The sequence below is a fragment of the Homo sapiens genome, chromosome 10, assembly GCF_000001405.40.
Source record: "Homo sapiens chromosome 10, GRCh38.p14 Primary Assembly".
Lineage (NCBI taxonomy): Eukaryota > Metazoa > Chordata > Mammalia > Primates > Hominidae > Homo > Homo sapiens.
In genome coordinates this window covers 99,630,918-99,656,879 of record NC_000010.11, presented here as the reverse complement: position 1 = coordinate 99,656,879, position 25,962 = coordinate 99,630,918, and the positions used below count along the sequence as shown (strand labels likewise).

The 25,962-nt window shown below is 40.0% G+C and overlaps 1 protein-coding gene and 1 long non-coding RNA gene across 5 annotated transcripts in view, besides 1 other annotated feature; one reads left to right on the top strand and one right to left on the bottom strand.

Moving 5' to 3' along the window:
- SLC25A28 (solute carrier family 25 member 28) overlaps positions 1–25,962 on the top strand; it is a 48,765-nt gene that overhangs the window by 2,407 nt on the left and 20,396 nt on the right. For 2 of the 3 annotated variants that reach the window (XM_024448223.2, XM_024448222.2), the window contains exon 2: positions 2,975–3,055. The exons of the other annotated variant lie outside the window; for it this stretch is intronic. The gene's annotated coding sequence lies outside the window, so the exon portion shown is untranslated. The remainder of the gene's footprint in view (positions 1–2,974; positions 3,056–25,962) is intronic. 3 annotated transcript variants of the gene reach the window in all.
- Positions 3,258–25,962, bottom strand: part of LOC105378450 (uncharacterized) — a 28,841-nt gene continuing 6,136 nt past the window's right edge. Inside the window, exons 2-5 of one of the 2 annotated variants that reach the window (XR_007062264.1) lie at positions 25,323–25,397; positions 4,545–4,705; positions 3,812–4,020; positions 3,258–3,625 (exon numbers count right to left, since the gene is read on the bottom strand). This is a non-coding gene — a long non-coding RNA (uncharacterized LOC105378450). The remainder of the gene's footprint in view (positions 3,626–3,811; positions 4,021–4,544; positions 4,706–25,322; positions 25,398–25,962) is intronic. The other variant, XR_007062265.1, reaches the window with a different exon arrangement.
- Positions 8,714–9,008: an enhancer, noted in NCBI's record as "tiled region #10719; K562 Activating non-DNase unmatched - State 24:Quies". NCBI's record gives its function as "activates a minimal TATA promoter and a strong SV40 promoter by Sharpr-MPRA in K562 cells {active_cell/tissue: K562}" and the evidence as "EXISTENCE:reporter gene assay evidence [ECO:0000049][PMID:27701403]".

Here is a 25,962-nt window from a genome sequence, read left to right as displayed (position 1 = left end):
GTCAGCAGGGCAAATTAAAAAGCACTGAGAGTATTTCTCTATTTCATTTGCTGTAACTCAACATGTTGCAACAAGTTATAGAAACCTATGTTTCAAAACAGGTTTTTAACTGCTCTTTAAAGGCTTGCCTTACAATTACATTTGCAATTTTTCTCCAGATGTGCTTGATGCCCAGCCCTGAGCAAAATCAGCCCAACAGGTCCCATATTAGGTGCTAGTTGTTTGCTTTGCTTCATTTCCCCTTGTGGATTCTCCTTCCCTCCACACTCCATCCCACCCTACCCTCTAAAGGAATTTGGAGGAGTGTCATGTGGTCTACACTCTCCCTTCCAAGTTTACCCATCTCTCTTCACCTGTCTTTCAGGCACCCCATTGTCCCAAATAAACTCATTATCTCTCCACTCTCATCATATCCACCCAAACCTCCTCCATCCATATTCTCCATCTTGACAAAATACCCTGTGATTCACCAGAGCAGGAACCTGTATGGGAGTCATCCTAGAATATCTTCCTTCTAACTTTCTTTCTCCCTTTCCATCCAATGAGTCACTAGGGGTGCTTAATTCAACTGCCTAAAATCCTCTCCAAGATCTTCTAATGAAGCCTTCCAACTGGTGGCCCTGCCCCCAGACCCATGCCCCTCCTGAGTGCCCCTTGATTCTGTTACCATTGGGAAACCTCATCATGCTACTTCCTGATCTAAAATCCTTCACTAGTTCCTTATTTTTTTTTAGCCCATCTTGTGGTCCCATAGTAGTTTCTTATTCTGACGAGATATAGTCCAAATTCCTAAGCATGGTGTGGCAGATCCCACTGACAGCCTATTCCAGAAGTACCTTCTTCCAGAAGTTCCTTATTATTTTTTTAGCCCATCCTGTGATCCCATAGTAGTTTCTTATTCCAATGAGATATGGTCCAAATTCCTTAGCATGGCGTGGGAGATCCCGCTGATAGCCTATTCTAGAAGTAGGCTCTCTCTTCTACCTTGTTAGCTTGACAAGTAACCACACTGAATATGCTTGGCCATGTGCTTGAAGGGTGCTAGGCTCCAACCTCAGTCCCAGGAGATAAATTGTGATTGTCTAAGTCAATCATGGTGGGCCCATACCCTCACAAAATATTGGTTTAAATGGGCATATGGTACAATTTTAGCTAATAATATGAAAGGGAAGTCAGCTGTTGAGAAGAATGCCCAGGGAGGAGGGAAGACATTTCTAGGGAAAGTTTTCTTCATCTTAAAAAGAGATACATTCATACCAAAATTATTGAAAGAAAAAAACGATACAGGTATAAGTCAATGAAAACTTTTCATAATGGGGCTGGGCGTGGTGGCATGCAGCTGTAATCCCAGTTACTTAGAAAGCTGAGGTAGGAGGATCCCTTGAGGCCAGGAGTTCAAGGTGTTTTTGAGTGGAAGTATAATTCCTACCTATTTTTTAAATAGTACTTAATTCATATGGTTTTTAAACTATATTAACTTATAATTCAAAAGTTCATTGAAACATCCTCTAATTTACATTTCATAACTACATCTCAAAACAGAAAAGAAACTACCTTTTTTTTTGAGAAGGGGTCTTGCTTTGTCCCCCAGGCTGGAATGCAGTGGTGTTATCTTGGCTCACTGCCACCTCTGCCTCCTGGGTTCAAGTGATTCTCCTGCCTCAGCCTCCTGAGTAGCTGGGATTACAGGCGCACACCGCCATACTCCGATAAGATCTACATTTTAATCCCAACATTTTAAAATTCTATTTTCTTTGTAAAATTTTGTCAGTCTTGTTTGGACAATACTTCCTTCAATAAATCCGTATGCCCTCAAGCATTTGTCAAGCATGATTCTTTGCAAAAACCTGCAGTGCTTATCTGATTAACAGCTCATAAGGCTGAGTTCTAAGGTTTCCAGTCAGCAGGGCGAGTTAAAAAGCATTGAGACTATTTCTCCATTTCATTTGCTGTAACTCAACATGTTGAAACAAATTCTAGAAACCCGTATTTCAAAACAAGTTTTTAACTGCTCTTTAAAGGCTTGCCTTACAATTATATTTGCAGTTTCCTCTGGATGCATGTTATGATTGTGCCTATCAGTAGCCACCGCACTCCAGCCTGGGCAATATAGCAAGAGCCCATTTCTTTTTTAAAAAAATTTATATAATGACCGAAAAAGAAGAGAAGGCCCCCTTTCTACTTCCAGGTGTGATCTTTTTGTTGTTGTTGTTGTTGTTGTTATTGAGATGGGTCTCACTCTGTTACTCAGGCTGGAGTGTGGTGGTGCAATCTCGGCTGACTGCAACCTCTGCCTCCCAGGCTCAAGCAATCCTCCTGCCTCCTGAGTAACTGGGACTACAGGCACACGTCACCACACCTGGCTAGTTTTTTGTATTTTTGGTAGAGACGGGGTTTTACCATGTTGCCCAGGCTGTCCAGGTGTAATCTTAAGGACATGATGCTTGGAGCTGCTGTAACCATCTTATAATCATGGGGGTACAAGACTGGGGATAACAGAATAGAAATACAGAAGCAAACTGGGTTCTTGATAACATCATCAAGCTGCTAAATTAAGATATTGGAGCAGTCTTACCTTGGGCTTATTATTTGAAATACTAAATTCCTTATTGTTCTTATTTTTAAGTCAGTGAATCAGAGATTTATGTTGTCTGTAGTCTCCTGATATGTGTGGCTTTCAATGTCTGATATTATCTAGCCCCCAACAGCTTCCAAGCTCACTAATAGATGTTGTCACCCAGAACCCTTACATATTTAAAGTTCTCAGAATTGATTATAACTTTTCTCACCTCTGAGCTTTTTTACTTGCTTTTACTCTGCATAACTAACTTTCATTCACTTCTCTACCAAATGAACTCCTACATATCCTTAAAAACTCAGCTCAAATGTTACCTCCTCCATAAGCCCCCAAGTCAGCTTACATGCTTCTTATTTTTTGCTCTTATAGTACTTTGCCTATATCTACTTCTATTAGGGCAAGCTGGCAGCTGTCTGACTGGACCTGATGCCACTGGGCCTGGTAGGAAGACAGAATATCTGTTTTGGACCTTAACAGGTATGTTTGGTCCAAAAAGATGGAATCCCTTGGGCTTAATCTAGATGGGAGATGTTTAGACCAAGAAGACTTAAATTACTCTGCAAAGTGAAATACAGTAATTTTGAGCATTCCCTCTAGAGACTGGGTTTGGGGAGCTCTGGCAAGGAAAAAAGAAAAAGAGATGAAAAAAGCGGAAGGATCAAGGCAAGATGGCAGATAAGACGGAAGAAAACGGCCCATGAGAGACTCTCTGTATTACTTATCTGTTGCTACATAGCAAATTACTCCAAAACTTTGCAGCTTAAAATAGCAATAAGCATTATTATCTCTCACAATTTCTGTGGGTCAGGAGTTTGGTTGCCCCTCAACTAAGGATCTTCTCATGAGGTTGCAAACAAGATGTCAGCTGGGGTTATAGGCGGCTAAAGTCTTAGCTGGAACTAGGAGATATCTTTCCAAGATGGCATGCATGGCTGGCAAGTTGATGCTGGCTATTGGTGGGAGGCCCCAGTTTCTTTTCACATGGTTCTTTCCCAGGGCTGCTTGAGTACCTTCATTACATGGTAGCTGGCTTCCCCCAGGGTGATCCTAAAGAGAACGAGCCAGGTAGAAACTTTATCCTTTGTATGACCTAGCCTCAGAAGTCAAATATCTTCACTTCTGCCACACATTATTTGTTGAAAGTGAGTCACTAACTCCTAGTCCACATTCAAGGGGAGGGGAATTCGGCTCCACCTTTTGAATAAAGAAGTATCAACTAATTTGTAGACATACTTTTAAATTACCGCAGTCCTTAAAATGAGTTTGGTCAGGGAACTTTTGGATATTCATAATGACATCATCAATGTTCAATTTTGAGTTTTGTGCTATGTTATAATCCTCTTCGGGACCCCAAACCTTCAGTTAAAGTCTGATAACACCACAGCTTTGTGTTCAGGTACTGTGAGGAATGAAGACATAGCAGAGCAGGGAGATGACAGCATCTGCAGAAAGTAAATTAACAAGTAGGATGATTGAAAATTTGAAAAATGCAGAAAATCAGTACCACAGGTCATTCAGAGAAGTAAAAGGCCCCTCCTCAGAGAGACCAGGGTGAGGTAGGCTGGGGTGGGGGTACAGTATGGCAAATTCTAAAAGCCCGTAGTACTTGAACAGAGGCATTGTGAGAAGGGAACGTAACCCCTTCTCTTGGTATCCATCCCAATTTTACTTGAGTGTGGACACCCTCCTCATGTGTAGCATGTCATTTGAGGATTCTGACTCCACTCCTGGCCCTAGGAATGGCACATGCAAGCCAGGCCTGAGGTATTGGGCAAAATCTCATCCCTTGGTCATAGCTACTGTTTCAGGAGTGGGCACATGGCCTAATTCTAGATAAAGAGACATGCTTTCTGGGACAAAAAAAAAGGGGCATTTGCTTTTCTTAAAGAGCATATGAGAGAACATTTCTCAACCACTTTCCTCTGTGTTCTCAGGCCCCCCTGCTTTCTCTTACCAGGACCCCTACCTTTCACCTTGTTCCCTTCCACCTCTCCAATCAGTCCCTATCTGGGTAAGGGGTCTTCCCTTAATTTCCAGGGGGTGGAACCCAGTGTTTACATTCTCTTCTGTCTCTGCCTCCACCCCATGCAGGACTTTGCGGAATCAGAAAAGAACCTGCTGTTGTACCTGGAAAAACAAAAGGAAGCTCTTTATGTACACACATGATAAGAACGCAGAGAAATATTAATGAGTAAAAACTGACAGTGACAAAAAAAATCTAACATCACTTATAAAAACTAACTTGAAATAGATCATAGTCCTGGATGTAAGAGCTAAAACGATAAAACTTATAAAAGAAAATAGAGAAGAAAATCTTGGTAGCCTTGAAATTTCTTAGATTCAACAGCAAAAGCAAGATACACACTCACACACCAAAAGAAAACCTTAATAAATTGGTCTCCATTGAAACTAAGAACTAGGCCAGGCATGATGGCTCATGCCTGTAATCTCAGCTCTTTGGGAGGCTGAGGTGGGAGGAGTTCACGGCCAGCCTGAGCAACACAGTCAGACTCTATCTTTAAAAAAAGTTTAAAAATAAAAATATATGCCAGGCATGGTGGCATGGACCTCTCATCCGAGTTACTCAGGAGGCTGAGGTGAGAGGATCATGTGAGCCCGGGAGTTCAAGGCTGCAGTGAGCTATGAATGTGCCACTGCACTCCAGCCTGGGTGACAGAGTGAGACCCTACCTCAAAAAAAAAAAAAAGAAAAGAAAAAGGCAACTAAGATCTACTCCTCTTCAAAACACACTACTAAGAGAATGAAAAGATAAGCCACACAGTGGGTTATCCTTCTGTGGGAGAAAATATTTGCAAATCACATATCTGATAAAGGGCTTGTATCTAGAATATGAAAAGAATTCTCAAAATTAAATAATGAGAAAGCAAACAACCCAGGTGTAAATAGACGAAAGATTTGTGCACTTCACCAAATAAGATATACAGATGGCAAATAAGCAATCTGTTCAAAAGATGTTCAAAATCATTAGTCATTAGAGCAATGCAAATTAAAACTACAATGAGAAGATGGCTGACTAGACACAGGTAGTATGTGCCTCCTTCATGGAGAGGAACCAGAAGAGTAAGTAGATATATTTTAAAGAGATTGTCTAGTAGAGAATGCTAGGACTCACCAGAGAAGTGATGGGAAGCACCAGAAGTAAATAAGGAGAGGGTTTGGGGACTGACTGAGAGCCCCAAGAGGCTCCTGGATGCTGGGAAACAATAAGAGAGAAATCCCTAGGGCTCCACACTCCAAAAAGAGCTTTTATGATCTTGGCTGTGCAAGAAAACCCCAACTAGCTTAGGACCTCAGGCCTGATATATGGAGCTGCCTAAAATTGCACAGATATATTGCTCCAGAAAAGAAATCCACATGGAATCCTACAGGCATCTGAGACTACAGCAGCCTCAGCCAGGCATTATTTTGATAGTCTAGATACCGGGGATCTACAGACATGGCTGCAGCTGTTGCCCTGCTCCAAAAAGGGAGAGGGGAGACCAAGTGCTCTCACACACCCCTGGGAGAGTCCCTACCACCCTTCTGTGGGCTGCCGTTGAGACTGAGACATGAACCCAGCCAAGGAGGATCAGGGAAACCAGGCTTTCCTATACGTATCTAAGACAATACCACTGCCCTGCAGTGGGCTGCTGTGTGACTGAGATGTGAGCGGATTGCATTTCCCCACAGCTTCTTGCTCACACTGCTTGCCTGGAACGTGCCCTACCCTCTCTGGTCCCAGGCCCAAGGCACCATTTTGAGAGTTTAATGTTGGGCTACATCCTGCCCTTAGGCTGAGTTCAGACTGATGCAGCTGCACCTGCTGCCCATCCAAGAACAGACAGGGAAACCAGGCTCTCCTACACATACATAGAACAATTGCCACTGCCCTGTGAGAGTTCAAAACCAGCCTGGACAACATAGTAAGACCCAATTTCTACAGAAAATTTTTAAAAATTTGCTGGGCATCGTGATGTGCACCTATAGTCCCAGTTACCCAGGAGGCTGAAGCAGAAGGATTGCTTGAGCCCAGGAGGTTGAGGCTGTGGTGAGCTGTGATCGCACCACTGCACTCCAGCCTGGGTGACAGAATGAAACCCTGTCTGAAAAAGAGAGAAAGAAATTAAGATGGAAATTTTAAAAAATTTTAAAATGAATGAAAATGAAAGCACAACATATCAAAACCTGTGGGATACAGCAAAAGCAATCCTAAGAGGGAAGTTTATAGCATTAAATATATATATCCAAAAAGTAGAAAGATTACAAAATAATGACTTAATGTCACATCTCAAGGAACTAGAACAAGAACAAACCAAACCCAAAGTTAGCAGAAGAAAAGATATAATGACGATTAGATCATAACTAAATGAAATAGGGACCAAAAAAAATCAATGAATGAAAAGTTGCTTCTTTGAAAATGTAAGCAAAATTGATAAGCCACTAGCTAGATCAAGAAAGAAGGGATCCCAATAAACAAGTGGATATGAAAAATGAGACATTAAAATGATACCACAGAAATACAAAAGATCATCAGAGACTATTATGAACAACTGTATGCCCAGAAACTAGAATACCTAGAAGAAGTGGGTAAATTTCTGGAAACATACAATCTTCTGAGATCCAACTAGGAAGAAACAGAACTCCTGAACAGACAGAACAATAATGAGTAGCGAGATTGAATCAGTAATAAAAAATCTCTCAACAACAACAAAAAAAGCCCAGAACCATATGGATTCACAGCCAAATTCTACCAAATATACAAAGAAGAACTATTGCTAATTCTTCTGAAGCTATTTCAGAAAATAGAGGAAGAGGGAAGTCTCCTTAACTCATTCTACAAGGCCAGTATCATCCTGATACCAAAGCAAGACAAGGACATGACAAAAAGTGAAAACTATAGACCAGTATCCCTGATGAACATTGATGCAAAAATCCTTAACAAAATATTAGCAAATCAAATTCAACAGCATATCAAAAAGATAATACACCATGATCAGGTAGGATTTATCCCAGGAATGCAAGGATGTTTCAATGTATGCAAATCAATAAATGTGATACATCACATAAACAGAATTAAGGACAAAAACCTATATGATCATTTCAATACAGACAAAGCATTCAATAAAATTCAGCATCCCTTCATGATAAAAATCCTCAATAAACTAGGCATAGAAGAAACATACCTTAACATAATAAGGTCATATATGACAAACCCACAGCCAACATCACACTTAGTGGAGAAAAATTAAAAGCATTTCCTCTAACTGGAACGATACAAGGATGCCCACTTTCAGTACTCTTATTCAACTTAGTACTGGAAGTCTTCACCAGGCCAATCAGACAAGAGAAAAAAATAAAAGGCATCCAAATTGGAAAAGAGGAAGTCAAATTATTCCTGTTTGCTGATGATATGATCTTCTATCTAGAAAACCCTTTGGGGTTTTTTGGCTCCTCCAAAAAAGCTTTTAGATTTGATAAATGAATGCAGTAGTTTCAGGATACAAAATTAATGTACAGAAATCAGTAGTGTTTCTATACAACAATAACAATCTAGCTGATGACCAAATCAAAAAGGCAATCCTATTTACAATAGCTACAAAAAAAAAAAAAAAAAACCTAGGAATATATTTAACCAAGGAAGTGAAAGATCTTTATAAGGAGAACTACAAAACATTGATGAAAGAAATAGTAGATTATGCAAATGGAAAAACATCCCATGCTTATGGATTGGAAGAATCAATATTGTTAAAATGACCATAGTCCCCAAAGTAATCTACAGATTCAATGCAATCCCTATCGAATTACCAATGTCATTTTTCCCAGAATTATAAAAAAATCCTAAAATTCATATGTAACCAAAAAAGGGCCTGAATAGCCAGAGCAATCCTAAGCAAAAAGAACAAAGCTCGAGGCATCCATTACTCACTTTGAATTATACTACAAGGCTATAGTCACCAAAGTAGTGTAGTACTGGTATAAGTATATACACATACATCAATGGAATAGGCTGGGCATGGTGGTGCATGCCTGTAATTCCAGCACTTTGGAAGACAGAGGGTGGATTACTTGAGGCCAGAAGTTGGAGACCAGCCTGGTCAACATGGTGAAACCTCATCTCTACTACAAAAAAAAAAAATCAGCTGGGCATGGTGGTGCACACCTGTAATCCCAGCTATTTGCAAGGCTGAGGCATGAGAATTGCTTGAGGCTGGGAGGCTGGGGCTACAGTGAGCCGATGTCACTCCACTGCACTCCAGCCTGGTGACAAAGTGAGACTTTCTGAAAAAAAAAAAATCAATGGAATAGAATAAAGAACCCAGAAATAAAGCCACATACCTATAACAAACTGACCTTTGACAAGCTCAACAAAAATAAACACTGGGGAAAGGACACCCTATTCAACAAATGGTGCTAGGAAAATTGGATGGCCATATGCAAAAGAATGAAACTAGACCCATACCTCTCGCCATAAACAAAAATTAAATCAAGATGGATTAAAGACCTAAATGTAATGCCTGAACTATAAACATCTTCAAAGAAAATCTGGGAAAAACTCTTCTGGACATTGACCTAGGCAAAGAATTTATGACCAAGTCCTCAAAAGCAAACATAGCAAGAACAAAAATAGACAAATGGGACTTGATTAAACAAAAAACCTTCTGCAAAGCAAAAGAACAGAGTAAACAGACAATTTACAGAATGGGAGAAAATATTTGCAAATTATGCATACAACAGAGGACTAATATCCAGAATCTGCAAGGAACTCAAAGAACTCAACAAGAAAAAAGCAAATAATCCCATTAAAAATTGGGCAAAGGACATGAACAGACATTTTTCAAAAGAAAACATACAAGTGGCCAAAGAATATAAGAAAAAGTGTTCAACATCACTAATCATCAGAGAAATGCAACTGAAAACCACAATGAGATACCATCTTACACCAGTCAGAATGGCTATTACTAAAAAGTCAAAACAACAAATGTTGGCAAGGATGTGGAAAAAGGGGAACAATTATACTTTGTTGGTAGGCATGTAAATTAGTACAACCTTTATGGAAAACAGTATGGAGATTTCTTAAAGAACTAAAGATAGAAGTACCATTCGATCCAACAATCCCACCAATGCGTATATATCCAAATGGAAAAAAATGATTATATCAAAAAGATATCTGCATTAATGTCTTTATTGCAGACTATTCACAATAACAAAGATGAAATCAAACTGTGTCCATCAGCAGAAGGTTGGATTAAGAAAATGTATTTTATATATAGCATGGAATACTACTCAGCCATAAGAAAGAATAAAATCATATCTTTCCCAGCAACACTGGTGGAACTTGAAGCCACTATCCTAAGTGAAATAACTCAGAAAGTCAAATACAGCATGTTCTCACTTATAAGTGGGAGCTAAACAAAGGGTACCTATGGATATACAGTGTGGACTATTAGACACTGGAGACTACAGAAGGTGGGAGGGTAGGAGGAGGGTTAGGGTTAGAAAATTACCTGTTGGGTACAATATTCACTATTTGGGTGATGGGTACACTAAAAGTGCAGACTTTACCACTATGCAATATATGCATGTAAGAAATCTGCACTTGTCTCTTCTGGGGAGGTTCCAAGATGGTCGAATAGGAACAGCTCTAGTCTACAGCTCCCAGCGTGAGTGACGCAGAAGACTGGTGATTTCTGCATTTCCAACTGAGGTACTGGGTTCATCTCACTGGAGCCTGTCAGACAGTGGGTGCAGCCCATGGAGCGTGAGCCAAAGAAGGGTGGAGCATCACCTCACCTGGGAAGCACAAGGGGTTGGGGAATTCCCTTTCCTAGCCAAGGGAAGCCGTGACAGATGGTACCTGGAAAATTGGGACACTCCCACCCTAATACTGCGCTTTTCCAATGGTCTTAGCAAAGGGCACACCAGGAGATTATATCCCACACATGGCTTAGAGGGTCCCACGCCCACAGAGCCTTGCTCACTGCTAGCACAGCAGTCTGAGATCGAACTGCAAGGTGGCAGTGAGGCTGGGGGAGGGGCGTCCGCCATTGCTGAGGCTTGAGTAGGTAAACAAAGTGGCTGGGAAGCTCGAATGGGCTGGAGCCAACCACATCTCAAGGAGGCCTTCCTGCCTCTGTAGACTCCACCTCTGGGGGCAGGCCATAGCTGAACATAGCTGCAGAAACTTCTACAGACTTAAACGTCCCTGTCTGACAGATTTGAAGAGAGTAGTGGTTCTCCCAGCATGGAGTTTGAGATCTGAGAATGGACAGACTGCCTCCTCAAGTGGGTCCCTGACCTCCAAGTAGCCTAACTGGGAGGCACCTCCCAGTAGGGGCCGACTGACACCTCATATGGCTGGGTGCCCCTCTGAGATGAAGCTTCCAGAGGAAGGATCAGGCAGCAACATTTGCCATTCTGCAATATTTGCTGTTCTGCAGCCTCTGCTGGTGATACCCAGGCAAACAGAGTCTGGAGTGGACCTCCAGCAAACTTTTAACAAACCCACAGCTGAAGGTCCTGACTGTTAGAAGGAAAACTAACAAACAGAAAGGACATCCACACCAAAACCCCATCTGTACGTCACCATCATCAAAAACCAAAGGTCGATAAAACCACAAAGATGGAGAGAAACCAGAGCAGAAAAGCTGAAAACTCTAAAAATCAGAGCACCTCTTCTCCTCCAAAGGAAAGCAGCTCCTCGCCAGCAATGGAACAAAGCTGGACGGAGAATGACTTTGACGAGTTGAGAGAAGAAGGCTTTGGACGATCGGTAATAACAAACTTCTCTAAGCTAAAGGAGAATGTTCGAACCCACCGCAAAGTAGCCAAAAACCTTGAAAAAAGATTAGATGAATGGCTAACTAGAATAAACAGCATAGAGAAGACCTTAAATGACCTGATGGAGCTGAAAACCACGGCATGAAAACTGTGACAAATGCACAATCTTCAGTAGCTGATTCGATCAAGTGGAAGAAAGGGTATCAGTGATTGAAGATCCAATGAATGAAATGAAGCAAGAAGATAAGTTTAGAGAAAAAAGAGTAAAAAGCCACTAACAAAGCCTCCAAGAAATATGGGACTATGTGAAAAGACCAAATCTACATCTGATTGGTGTACCTGAAAGTGATGGGGAGAATGGAACCAAGTTGGAAAACACTCTTCAGGATATTATCCAGGAGAACTTCCCCAACCTAGCAAGGCAGGCCAACATTCAAATTCAGGAAATACAGAGAACACCGCAAAGATACTCCTCAAGAAGAGCAACTCCAAGACACATAATTGTCAGATTCACCAAAGTAGAAATGAAGGAAAAAATGTTAAGGGCAGCCAGAGAGAAAGGTCGGGTTACCCACAAAGGCAAGCCCATCAAACTAACAGCGGATCTCTCACAGAAACTCTACAAGCCAGAAGAGAGTGGGGGCCAATATTCAACATTCTTAAAGAAAAGAATTTTCAACCCAGAATTTCATATCCAGCCAAACTAAGCTACATACATGAAGGAGAAATAAAATCCTTTACAGACAAGGAAATGCTGAGAGATTTTGTCACCACCAGGCCTGCCTTACAAGAGCTCCTGAAGGCAGCACTAAACATGGAAAGGAACAACTGGTACCAGCCACTGCAAAAACATGCCAAATTGTAAAGACCATTGATGCTAGGAAGAAACTGCATCAACTAACGAGCAAAATAACCAGCTAACATCATAATGACAGGATCAAATTCACACATAACAATATTAACCTTAAATGTAAATGGGCTAAACGCTCCAATTAAAAGACACAGGCTGGCAAATTGCATAAGGAGTCAGTGTGCTGTATTCAAGAAACCCATCTCACGGGCAGAGACACACAGGCTCAAAATAAAGGGATGGAGGAAGATCTATCAAGCAAATGGAAAACGAAAAAAAGCAGGGGTTGCAATCCTAGTCTCTGATAAAACAGACTTCAAACCAACAAAGATCAAAAGAGACAAAGAAGGCCATTACATAATGGTAAAGGGATCAATTCAACAAGAAGAGCTAACTATCCTAAATATATATGCACCCAATACGGGAGCACCCAGAGTCATAAAGCAAGTCCTTAGAGACCTACAAAGAGACTTAGACTCCCACACAATAATAATGGGAGACTTTAACACCTCACTGTCAACATTAGACAGATCAACGAGACAGAAAGTTAACAAGGATATCCAGGAATTGAACTCAGCTCTGCACCAAGCAGACCTAATAGACATCTACAGAGCTCTCCACTCCAAATCAACAGAATATACATTCTTCTCAGCACCACATCGCACTTATTCCAAAATTGACCATATAGTTGGAAGTAAAGCACTCCTTGGCAAATGTAAAAGAACAGAAATTATAACAAACTGTCTCTCAGACCACAGTGCAATCAAACTAGAACTCAGGATTTAGAAACTCACTCAAAACCACTCAACTACATGGAAACTGAACAACCTGCTCCTGAATGACTACTGGGTACATAATGAAATGAAGGCAGAAATAAAGATGTTCTTTGAAACCAATGAGAACAAAGACACAACATACCAGAATCTCTGGGACACATTTAAAGCAGTGTGTAGAGGGAAATTTATAGCATTAAATGCCCACAAGAGAAAGCAGGAAAGATCTAAAATTCATACCCTAACATCACAATTAAAAGAACTAGAGAAGCAAGAGCAAACACATTCAAAAGCTAGCAGAAGGCAAGAAATAACTAAGATCAGAGCAGAACTGAAGGAGATAGAGACACAAAAAACCCTTCAAAAATTAATGAATCCAGGAGCTGGTTTTTTGAAAAGATCAACAAAATTGATAGACCGCTAGCAAGACTAATAAAGAAGAAAAGAGAGAAGAATCAAATAGACGCGATGAAAAATGATAAAGGGGATATCACCACCGATCCCACAGAAATACAAACTACCATCAGAGAATACTATAAACACCTCTAAGGAAATAAACTAGAAAATCTAGAAGAAATGGATAAATTCCTGGACACATATAGCCTCCCAAGACTAAACCAGCAAGAAGTTGAATCCCTGAATAGATTGGTAACAGGCTCTGAAATTGAGGCAATAATTAATAGCCTACCAACCAAAAAAAGTCCAGGACCAGACGGATTCACAGCTGAATTCTAGCAGAGGTACAAAGAGGAGCTGGTACCATTCCTTCTGAAACTATTCCAATCAATAGAAAAAGAGGGAATCCTCCCTGACTCATTTTATGAGGCCAGCATCATCCTGATACCAAAGCCTGGCAGAGACACAACAAAAAAAGAGAATTTTAGACTAATATCCCTGGTGAACATCGATGCAAAAATCCTCAATAAAATACTGGCAAACCGAATCCAGCAACACATCAAAAAGCTTATCCACCATGATCAAGTTGGCTTCATCCCTAGGATGCAAGGCTGGTTGGACATATGCAAATTAATAAACATAATCCAGCATATAAACAGAACCAAAGACAAAAACCACATGATTATCTCAATAGATGCAGCAAAGGCCTTTGACAAAATTCAACAGCCCTTCATGCTAAAAACTCTCAATAAACTAGGTATTGATGGGACATGTCTCAAAATAATAAGAGCTATTTTTGACAGACCCACAGCCAATATCATACTGAATGGGCAAAAACTGGAAGCATGCCCTTTGAAAACTGGCACGAGACAGGGATGCCCTCTCTCACCACTCCTATTCAACACAGTGTTGGAAGTTCTGGCCAGGGCAATCAGGCAGGAGAAAAATAAAGGGTATTCAATTAGGAAAAGAGGAAGTCAAATTGTCCCTGTTTGCGGATGACATGATTGTATATTTAGAAAACCCCATCGTCTCATCCCAAAACCTCCTTAAGCTGATAAGCAACTTCAGCAAAGTGTCAGGATACAAAATCAATGTGCAAAAATCACAAGCATTCTTATACACCAATAACAGACAAGCAGAGAGCCAAATCATGAGTGAACTACCATACACAATTGCTTCAAAGAGAATAAAATACCTAGGAATCCAACTTACAAGGGATGTGAAGGACCTCTTCAAGGAGAACTACAAACCACTGCTCAATGAAATAAAAGAGGACACAAACAAATGGAAGAACATTCCATGCTCATGGATAGGAAGAATCAATATTGCTAAAATGGCCATACTGCCCAAGGTAATTTATAGATTCAATGCCATCCCCATCAAGCTACCAACGACTTTCTTCACAGAATTGGAAAAAACTACTTTAAAGTTCATATGGAACCAAAAAAGAGCCCACATTGCCAAGTCAATCCTAAGCCAAAAGAACAAAGCTGGAGGCATCATGCTACCTGACTTCAAACTATACTACAAGGCTACAGTAACCAAAACAGCATGGTACTGGTACCAAAACAGAGATATAGACTAATGGAACAGAACAGAGCCCTCAGAAATAATACCACACATCTACAACCATCTGATCTTTGACAAACCTGACAAAAACAAGAAATGGGGAAAGGATTCCCTATTTAATAAATGGTGCTGGGAAAACTGGCTAGCCATATGGAGAAAGCTGAAACTGGATCCCTTCCTTACAACTTATACAAAAATTAATTCAATATGGATTAAAGACTTAAATGTTAGATCTAAAACCATAAAAACCCTAGAAGAAAACCTAGGCATACCATTCAGGACATAGGCATGGGCAAGGACTTCATGACTAAAACACCAAAAGTAATGGCAACAAAAGCCAAAATAGACAAATGGGATCTAATTAAACTAAAGAGCTTCTGCACAGCAAAAGAAACTACCATCAGAGTGAACAGGCAGCCTACAGAATGGGAGAAAATTGTTACAATCTACCCATCTGACAAAGGGCTAATATCCAGAATCAACAAAGAATTTAAACAAATTTACAAGAAAAAAATCAAACAACCCCATCAAAAAGTGGGCGAAGGATATGAACAGACACTTCTCAAAAGAAGACATTTATGCAGCCAACAGACACATGAAAAAATGCTCATCACTACTGGCCATCAGAGAAATGCAAATCAAAACCACAATGAGATATCATCTCACACCAGTTAGAATGGTGATCATTAAAAAGTCAGGAAACAATAGATGCTGGAGAGGATGTGGAGAAATAGGAACACTTTTACACTGTTGGTGGGACTGTAAACTAGTTCAACCATTGTGGAAGATAGTGTGGCGATTCCTCAAGGATCTAGAACTAGAAATACCATCTGACCCAGCCATCCCATTACTGGGTATATACCCAAAGGATTATAAATCATGCTGCTATAAAGACACATGCACACATATGTTTATTGCAGCACTACTCACAATAGCAAAGATTTGGAACCAACCCAAATGTCCACCAATGATAGACTGGATTAAGAAAATGTGGCTCATATACACCATGGAATACTATGCAGCCATAAAAAATGATGAATTCATGTCCTTTGTAGGGACATGGATGAAGCTGGAAACTATCATTCTGAGCAAACTATCACAAGGACAGAAAACCAAACACCACATGTTCTCACTCATAGGTGGGACTTGAACAATGAGAACACTTGGACACAGGATGGGGAACATCACACACCGGGGCCTGTCATGAGGTGGCGGGAGCGGGGAGGGATAGCATTAAGAGATATACCTAATGTAAATGACAAGTTAATGGGTGCAGCACACCAACATGGCACATGTATACATATGTAACAAACCTACACGTTGTGCACATGTACCCTAGAACTTAAAGTATAATAAAAAAAAGAAGAAATCTGCACTTGTATCCCGTAAATATATAAACATTAAAACAAAATTTTAAGAGTAAAAAATAAAACCACAATGAGATAGTACATATCCTCTAGAATGGATATAATCAAAAGACGTACAATAATTTGCTTAGAATGTGGTACCATGTGCTACCATGTCATGAAGACACTTAAGCATCTCTCTGGAGATGCCCACATGGGGAGAAACTGAGGCCTCCTGCCAATAGCCATAATCAACTTGCCAGCTGTGTGAGTGAGCCACTGTGGAAGTGCATTCTCTATCCCCAGTCAATCTTTCAGGTATCTGTAGCCTTAGCCAATTATATCAAATGCCACATCCAAGGAAACTTATAATTAATATTTATTGTTTTAAGCTACTAAGTTTTGTGGTAATTTGTTATGCGGTGATGGATAACTAATATAAAACAATATAGGATTAGAAAATAATAATGTCTACATTGGCTGGCACATAGTGAGCCGCTCATAAATGCTGGCTGTCAGTTACCATTGTTGTATAACACATGCATGTCTTTTTTCACCAGAGATTTCAAGTTTCTTGAAAAGCAGGACTATAGCTTCCTAGCTTTTTTGTTTTTTTCTTTTTTTGTACTCTTTGCCCCTCCTTATCCTTCTCAGTCCCTTAACATACTGCTGGGTACACACATAACTGAAGCCTGATAAGTAAGTCATGAAGTAAGTGAATTAAATCCAAAGGATAAGTGATTTAACTTTGTCGCTATGAGAATAACTTTCCATTTCCTAAAATATGGGATTATCTCTTTTGATGCAGTTGATGTAAATGCCTAGGCTGTGTGTGTGTGTGTGTGTGTGTGTGTGTGTGTGTGTACCCATGGTGCTGGCCCAGTCCTTGGAATAAGATCAGTGCCAAGAAGGTAGCCTGGGGCGGAGTAGGGGGATGGGGGGGCAGGGAGTCAATGAGATTTCATGAAGCAATGAGGTTGAGTAAGAGTTATTACCTAGTGGATCAAGCTTGGTCCTCTCCAGGGAATTTTTTTTTAGGTTGAGTTTAAAATTGGGCATTCCTTGAAATTGAGAAAATGGGATTTATTTTATTTTTTAAAAAATTTTCCATAGGTTATTGGGGTACAGGTGGTATTTGGTTACATATGTTCTTTTGTGGTGATCTGTGAGATTTTGGTGCACCCATCACCCATGCAATATACACTGCACCCTATTTGTAGTCTTTTATCCCTCGCCCCCCTCCCACCCTCATCCCCAAGTCCCCAAAATCTATTGTATCATTCTTATGGCTTTGCATCCTCACAGCTTAGCTCCCACATATCGGTGAGAAGATACAATGTTTGGTTTTCCATTCCTGAGTTACCCTCACTTAGAATAATGGTCTCCAATCTCATCCAGGTGGATGCAAATGCCATTGGTTCACTCCTTTTTATGGCTGAGTAGTATTCCCTCATATATATATTATTGAGAAATATATATATATTTATATATGTTGAGAAATATATATATATCACAGTTTCTTTATCCACTCATTGATTGATGGGCATTTGGGTTGGTTCTACGATTTTGCATTTGCAAATTGTGCTGTTATAAACATGTGTGTGCAAGTATCTTTTTCATACAATGACTTATTTTCCTCTGAGTAGATACCCAATAGTGGGATTGCTGGATCAAGGGGTAGTTCTACTTTTAGTTCTTTAAGGAATCTCCACACTGTTTTCCATAGTGGCTGTACTAGTTTACGTTCCCATCAAGCAGTGTAGAAGTGTTCCCTGATCACTGCATCCATGCCAACATCTACTGTTTTTTAATTTTTTGATTATGGCCATTCATGCAGGAGTAAGGTGGTATCACATTGTGGTTTTGATTTGCATTTCCCTGATCATTAGTGATGTTGAGCATTTTTTCATATGTTTGTTGGCCATTTGTATATCTTCTTCTGAGAATTGTCTATTCATGTCCTTAGCCCACTTTTTGATAAGATTGTTTTTTTCTTAGTGATTTGTTTGAGTTCATTGTAGATTCTGGATATTAGTCCTTTGTCAGATGTATAGATTGTGAATATTTTCTCCCACTCTGTGGGTTGCTGTTTACTCTGCTGAATGTTCCTTTTGCTGTGCAAAAGCTCTTCAGTTTAATTAAGTCTCAGGTAATTATCTTTGTTTTTCTTGTATTTGCTTTACTGTTCTTTGTCATGAAATCCTTGCCTAAGCCAATGTCTAGAAGGGTTTGTCCAATGTTATCTTCTATAATTTTATAGTTTCAGGTCTTAGATTAAATTCTTAATCCATGTTGAGTTGATTTTTGTATAAGGTGAGAGATGAGGATCCAGTTTCATTCTCCTACATGTGGCTAGCCAATTATTACCATTTGTGGAAAAGGGTATCATTTCCCCCACTTTATGTTTTTGTTTGCTTTATCGAAGATCAGTTGGCTGTTAAGTATTTGGGATTATTTCTGGGTTCTCTATTCTTTTCCATTGCTCTGTATGCCATTCTGTACCAGTACTGTGCTATTTTGGTGACTATGGCCTTTTAATATAGTTTGAAATCAGGTAGTGTGATGCCTCCAGATTTGTTCTTTATGCTTAGTCTTGCTTTGGCTATGCGGGCTCTTTTTGGTTCCATATGAATTTTAGAATTGCTTTTTCTAATTCTGCGAAGAATGATGACGGTATTTTGATGGGGATTGCATTGAATTTGTGGATTGCTTTTGGCAGTATGGTCATTTTCACAATATTGATTCTACCCATCCATGAGCATGGGATGTGTTTCCATTTGTTTGTGTCATCTATGATTTATTTCAGCAGTGTTTTGTAGTTTTCCTTGTAGAGGTCTTTCGCCTCCTTAGTTAGGTGTATTCCTAAGTTTTTTTGTTTGTTTGTTTTTGTTTTTGCAGCAACTGTAAAAAGAGTTGAGTTCCTGATTTGATTCTCCACTTGGTCGCTGTTGGTGTATAGGAGAGCTACTGATTTGTGTACATTAATCTTGTATCCAGAAACTTTGCTGAATTCTTTTATCGGTTCTAGGAGCTTTCTGGAGGAGTCTTTAGGGTTTTCAAGGTAAACGATCATATTGTCAGCAAACAGTGACAGTTTGATTTCCTCTTTACCTATTTGAATGTCCTTTCTTTCTCTTGTCTGATTGCTCTGGCTGGGACTTCCATTACTATGTTGAAGAGGAGTGGTGAGAGTGGGCAACCTTGTCTTGCTCCAGTTCTCAGAGGGAATGCTTTCAACTTTTCCCCATTCAGTATAATGTTGGCTGTGGGTTTGTCATAGATGGCTTTTATTACATTGAGGTATGTCCCATGTATGCTGATTTTGCTGAGAGTTTTAATCATAAAGGGAGGCTGGATTTTGTCAAATGCCTTTTCTGCATCTATTGAGATGATCATGTGGTTTGTTTTTAATTCTGTTTATGTGGTATATCACATTTATTGACTTGTGTATGTTAAACCATCTCTGCATCCCTGGTATGAAACCCACTTGCTCGTGGTGTATTATCTTTTTGATATGTTGTTGGATTCAATTAGCTAGTATTTTGTTAATGATTTTAGCATCTATGTTCATCAGGGATATTGGGCTGTTGTTTTCTTTTTTGGTTACATCCTTTCCTGGTTTTAGTATTAGGGTGATGCTGGCTTCATAGAATGAATTAGGGAGGGTTCTCTCTTTCTCTATCTTGTGGAATAGCGTCAAAAGGATTGGTACCAATTCTTCTCTGAATGCCTGATAGAATTCTGCTGTGAATCCCTCTGGTCCTAGACTTTTTTGTTGTCGGTAATTTTTAAATTACCGTTTCAATCTCACTGCTTGTAACTGATCTGTTCAGGGTACCTAATTATTCCTGACTTAAGCTAGGGGTTATATTTTTCCAGGTATTTATCCATCTTTTCTACATTTTCTAGTTTATGTGCATAAAGGTGTTCATAGTAGCCTTGAATGATCTTTTGTATTTCAGCAGTGTCAGTATTGGATATTTCCTTTCTTCTGCTGGGTTTGCATTTGGTTTGTTCTTGTTTCTCCAGTTCCTTGAGATGTGACCTTAGAATGTCAGTTTGTGCTGTTTCAGCCTTTTTGATGTAGGCATTTAGGGCTATGAACTTTCCTCTTAGCACCACCTTTGCTGTATCCCAGACGTTTCGATAGGTTGTGTCATTGTTGTCATTGAGTTTGAAGAATTTTTAAATTTCCATTCGTTTTTGACCCAATGCTCATTCGGGAGCAGGTTATTTAATTTCCATATATTTGCATGGTTTTGAAGGTTCCTTTTGGAGTTGATTTCCAGTTTTATTCCACTGTAATCTGAGAGAGTGATTGATATAATTTCAATTTTCTTAAATTTATTGAGGCTTGTTTTATGGCCTATCATATGGTCTATCTTACAGAAAGTTCCATGTGCTGTTGAATAGAATGTGTATTCTGAGGTTGCTGGATGAAATGTTCTGTATATATCTGTTAAGTCCATTTGTTCCAAGGTATAGTTTAAATCCATTGTTTCTTTGTTGACTTTCTGTCTCTTGATGACCTGTCTAGTGCCGTCAGTGGAGTATTGAAGTTCCCACTATTATTGTGCTGGTGTCTATCTCATTTATTAGGTCTATTAGTAATCGCTTTATAAATTTGGGAGCTCTGGTGTCAGGTGCATATATGTTTACGATTGTGATATTTTCCTGTTGGACAAGGCCTTTTACCATTATACAGTCTCCCTCTTTGTCTCTTTTAACCACTGTTGCTTTAAAGTTTGTTTTGTCTGATATAAGAATAGCTGCCCCTACTTGTTTTTGGTGTTCATTCGCATGAAATGCCTTTTTCCACCCCTTTACTTTAAGTTTATGTGAGTCCTTATGTGTTAGGTGAGTCTCCTGAAGGCAGCAGATAGTTGGTTGGTGAGCTCTTTTTTTTTTTGAGATGGAATCATGCTCTGTTGCCTAGGCTGGAGTGTAGTGGCATGATCTCTGCTCACTGCAACCTCCACCTCCCAGGTTCAGGTGATTCTCCTGCCTCAGCCTCCCAAGTAGCTGGAACTACAGGTGTGTGCTACCACACCAGGCTAATTTTTGTATTTAGTAGAGACAGGGTTTCACCACGTTAGCCAGGATGGTCTCAATCTCCTGACCTCGTGATCCACCCGCCTCGGCCTCCTAAAGTGCTGGGATTACAGGTGTGAGCCATCGTGCCCAGCAGTTGGTGAGTTCTTATCCATTCGGCAGCTCTGTATCTTTTAAGTGGAGCATTTAGGCCATTTACATTCAATGTTAGTATTGAGATGTGAGGTAACGTTGCATTCATTGTGCTATTTGTGGTCTGTGTACCTTGGTTTTTTTGTTTTTGGCTTTGCCTTTTAACTAATATTTTTGTTTCATAGGTCCTGTGTGATTTATGCTTTAAAGAGATTTTGTTTTGATGTGTTTCCAGGATTTGTTTCAAGATTTAGAACTCTGTTTAGCAGTTCTTGTAATGGTGACTTCGTAGTGGCTAATTCTCTCAGCATTTATTTGTCTGAAAAAGGCTGTATCTTTCCTTCATATATGATGCTTAGTCTTGCTGGATACAAAATTTTTTGGCTGATAATTGTTTTGTTTGAGGAGGCTGATGATAGGGCCCCAAACCCTTCTAGCATGTAGGGTTTCTGTTGAGAAATCTGCTGTTAATCTGATGGGTTTTCCTTTATAGGTTACCTGGTGCTTTTGTCTCACAGCTCTTAAGATTCTTTCCTTCATCTTAACTTTAGATGACCTGATGACAATGTTGCCTAGGCAAGGATCCTTTTGTGATGAATCTCCCAGGTTTTCTTTGTGCTTCTTGTATTTGGATGTCTAGGTCTCTACCAAAGCCAGGAAAGTTTTCATCAATCATTTCCCCAAATATGTTTTCCAAACTTTTAGATTTCTCATCTTCCTCAGCAACACTGATTGTTCTTAGTTTGGTCATTTAATAGAATCCCAGACTTCTTGGAGGTTTTGTTCATATTTTCTTAATCTTTTTTCTTTGTCTTTGTTTGATTGGGTTAATTCAAAGACCTTGTCTTTGAGTTCTGAATTTCTTTCTTCTACTTGTTCAATTCTATTGCTGAGACTTTCCAGAACATTTTACATTTCTATAAGTGTGTTCGATATTTCCTGAAATTTCTATTGCTTTTTTTTATGCTATTTCCTCGAATATTTCTCCCTTTACTTCTTGTATCATTTTTTGGATTTCCTTGCACTGGGCTTCACCTTTCTCTGGTGCCTCCCTAATTAGCTTAATAACTAACCTCCTGAATTCTTTTTCAGGTAAATCAGGGATTTCTTCTTGGTTTGGATCCATTGCTGGTGAGCTAGTGTGATTTTTTGAGGGTGTAAAAGAGCCTTGTTTTGTCATATTACCAGACTTGGTTTTCTGGTTCCTTCCATTTGGGTAGGCTCTGCCAGAGGGAAGGTCTAGGGCTGAAGGCTGTTGTTCAAATTCTTTTGTCACACAGGGCATTCCCTTGATGTAGTACTCTCCCCCTTTCCTATGGATCTGGCTTTCTGTGAGCCAAGCTGCAATGATTGTTATCTCTTTTCTGGGTCTAGCTGCCCAGCAAGTCTACCCAGCCCCAGGCTGGTACTGGGAGTTATCACAGAGTCCTGTGATGTGAACTGTCTATTGGTCTCTCAGCCATGGATACCAGCACCTGTTCCAGTGCAGGTGGCAGGGGGGTGAAATGGACTCTGTGAGGATTCTTAGCTTTGGTGGTTTAGTGCTTTATTTTTGGGCTGGTTTGCCTCCTGCTGGGAGGTGGTGCTTTCCAGAGAGCATCAGCTGTGGTAGTATGGAGAAGAATCTGCGGCGAGTGGTGCCCTAGAACTCCCAAGTTTATGCCCTTTGTCTTCAGCTACTAGGGTGGATAGGGAAGGCTCATAGGTCTGCCTAGGCTTTTTTTTTTTTTTCTTAAGACAGAGTCTCCCTCTGTCGCCCAGGCTGGAGTGCAATGGCATGCGATCTCAGTTCATTCTCCTGCCTCAGCTTCCCAAGTAGCTGTGATTACAGGCATGCACCAGCACACCCAGCTAATTTTTTGTATTTGTAGTAGACATGGGGTTTTGCCATGTTGGCCAGGCTGGTCTCGAACTCCTGACCTCAGGTGATCCACCTGCCTCAGCCTCCCAAAGTGCTGGGATTACAAATGTGAGCCACCGCGCCTGGCCTGCCTAGGCTTTTATATGCTAGTTTGTAATGAGTAAGTTGTGAAGGCAAGAAAGGCTAAGTAATACAGAGAAAAGTGCTGGTTGATTAAAAGAAGGCAATGAAGAAATCAGCATTGGATAAGGCAGAAGACCAGGTATGAGTGTTGGGAATGTGCCTGTAATAAAAATGTAGTAAGAAATTGGAATAGGACCTGGAGAACAGCCAGGAAAATCACGCACACAGATAACTTGGGGATTCAAGGCTTATGGGGTTGAGGCCAACTTTTTTTTTTTAAATGAAAATGTTGTGTCCATGTTTGCTGCCTTCATAACTGGCTAGTTACTTTGATAATGCATCCCATATGTATAAAGTATACAATACCACAGAGCACTAAAAATACATCACATCTACTTCCATAAACAACTCAAAATTTATCCTGTGCTGATAGCTTATCGTTTTTGTATGTCAAAGATGATAGACCCTTATGTTATTTGATAACATTCAAGGAAAGCTTTGTAATTCTAGCTGTTTCACTTAAGAATTTGGTCTACTATTTATGATACAAAGTCAATGCAACAACTAAGGTCACATATGACCTAGTCCCAAAGTAAGGATGTTATTGTAGGAAGAAAAGGAAGCTAATTTGTGAGATACCCAAAATTTGGTGCTGTAGTTTAGCAACAAGTTGATTGTCTAAACAAGCAAAAGTTCCTTGCTCACAGTTGACCTGAAAAAAAGAAGTAGAAAGAATAAAAGCAAAGGACAGTAACTATGATAATTTTGGTTTCTTGCTTGGGAGTTAGGTGATGTGATGCCATTGATTTCTATGATGGTGGATGGACAGATATAAAGGAAAAAATAAGTAATCATTATAATAATAGTAATAATCCACATTTGTTGAGGTCTAACTATAGTATATAGTATGCCTGGTACTAAACTAAACTAAGCATTTAGCATTCTTTTTGTAATTTAATCCTTAAACAATCCAGTGAAGTACAGTTGTCCCTCAGTATCCATGGGGGACTGGTTCTAGGACACACACCCACCCCCTGCCAGCCTCCACAGATACCAAAATCTGCAGATGCTCAAGTCACTAATGTAAAGTGGCATAGTATTTGCAAATAACCTACACACATCCTCTCAGCTACTTTAAATAATCTTTAGATTACTTATAATACCTAATACAATGTAAATGTTATGTAGTCATTATACTTTATTGCTTAAAAAATAACATACTGGGCCAGGCGCGGTGGCTCACGCCTGTAATCCCAGCACTTTGGGAGGCCGAGGCGGGTGGATCATGAGGTCAGGAGATCGAGACCATCCTGGCTAACAAGGTGAAACCCCGTCTCTACTAAAAATACAAAAAATTAGCCGGGCGCGGTGGCGGGCGCCTGTAGTCCCAGCTACTGGGGAGGCTGAGGCAGGAGAATGGCGTGAACCCGGGAGGCGGAGCTTGCAGTGAGCCGAGATTGCGCCACTGCAGTCCGCAGTCCGGCCTGGGCGACAGAGCGAGACTCCGTCTCAAAAAAAAAAAAAAAATAAAAAAAAAAAATAACATACTGAGCGTGTTCAGTACAGATGCATTTTTTCCCATTATTTTCTCTCCCAGTTGGTTGAATCCACGAATGCAGAACCCATGGATACAGAGGGCATTCTATGCGGCCTATTAGAGTATTATTACTGCTTTACAGATGAGGAAAGTGAAGCTTAGGTCAAGTAAGGGAACTTCAGCTACCCTGGGCTATCCTTCCCATTCTCATTTTCTGGTGAGGAGTCATGACCAAAGCAAAGATGGGATGAGTCAAGAGATGAGGCTTTCTGTTTATACTTTTTAAAAATCATTTTTACTAACTCTGTTTTGTTAGTTTATTACCTTGATCTGGAGAAGCAGCAGACTGTGTATTTAAGAGTTTACACTCTGAAGTCAGGCAGATCAGAGCAAGGATTTCTGAGAAAGAAAAATAAATAAAAATTTAAAATAAGATATAATATAAAATTAAATAAAATAGACGAAGTCAGGAGACCAGTGTTTGAAAGCTGGTTTCACCACTAACCAGCTGTGTTACCTTGAGGAAGCTATGTTTCTTACAGCTCATTTCCTTATCTATAAAATATGAATAATAGCCCAGCTTCTAGGGTTGCTGCCCTCAATCTTTTTTCACAGAAACCAGTGACCTTTTCAAAATGCAAAATTGACCATGTTGCCCAACTTCAACTTAGAATTCCACAATGGAATCCCATTGTTCTTAAAATATAAACCAATCCCTTGAAACATGACTTTCAAAGCCTCTCAAGGACTGCTCCTTACTTACTTCCTAGGACTCAGACATGCTTCATCTGGCCTCACAAACACTGTTCTTGTCCTGTGACCACAGGACTCCTGCTATTATGTTTTCTTTGTCCAGAAAATTACTCCTTCCCTTACTCCTTCCACTACCTCCCTTACTCCTTCCACTATCCCTCCATCTGATGTAACCTAATTAACTCTTCTTATCTTTAAAATATTACTTCAA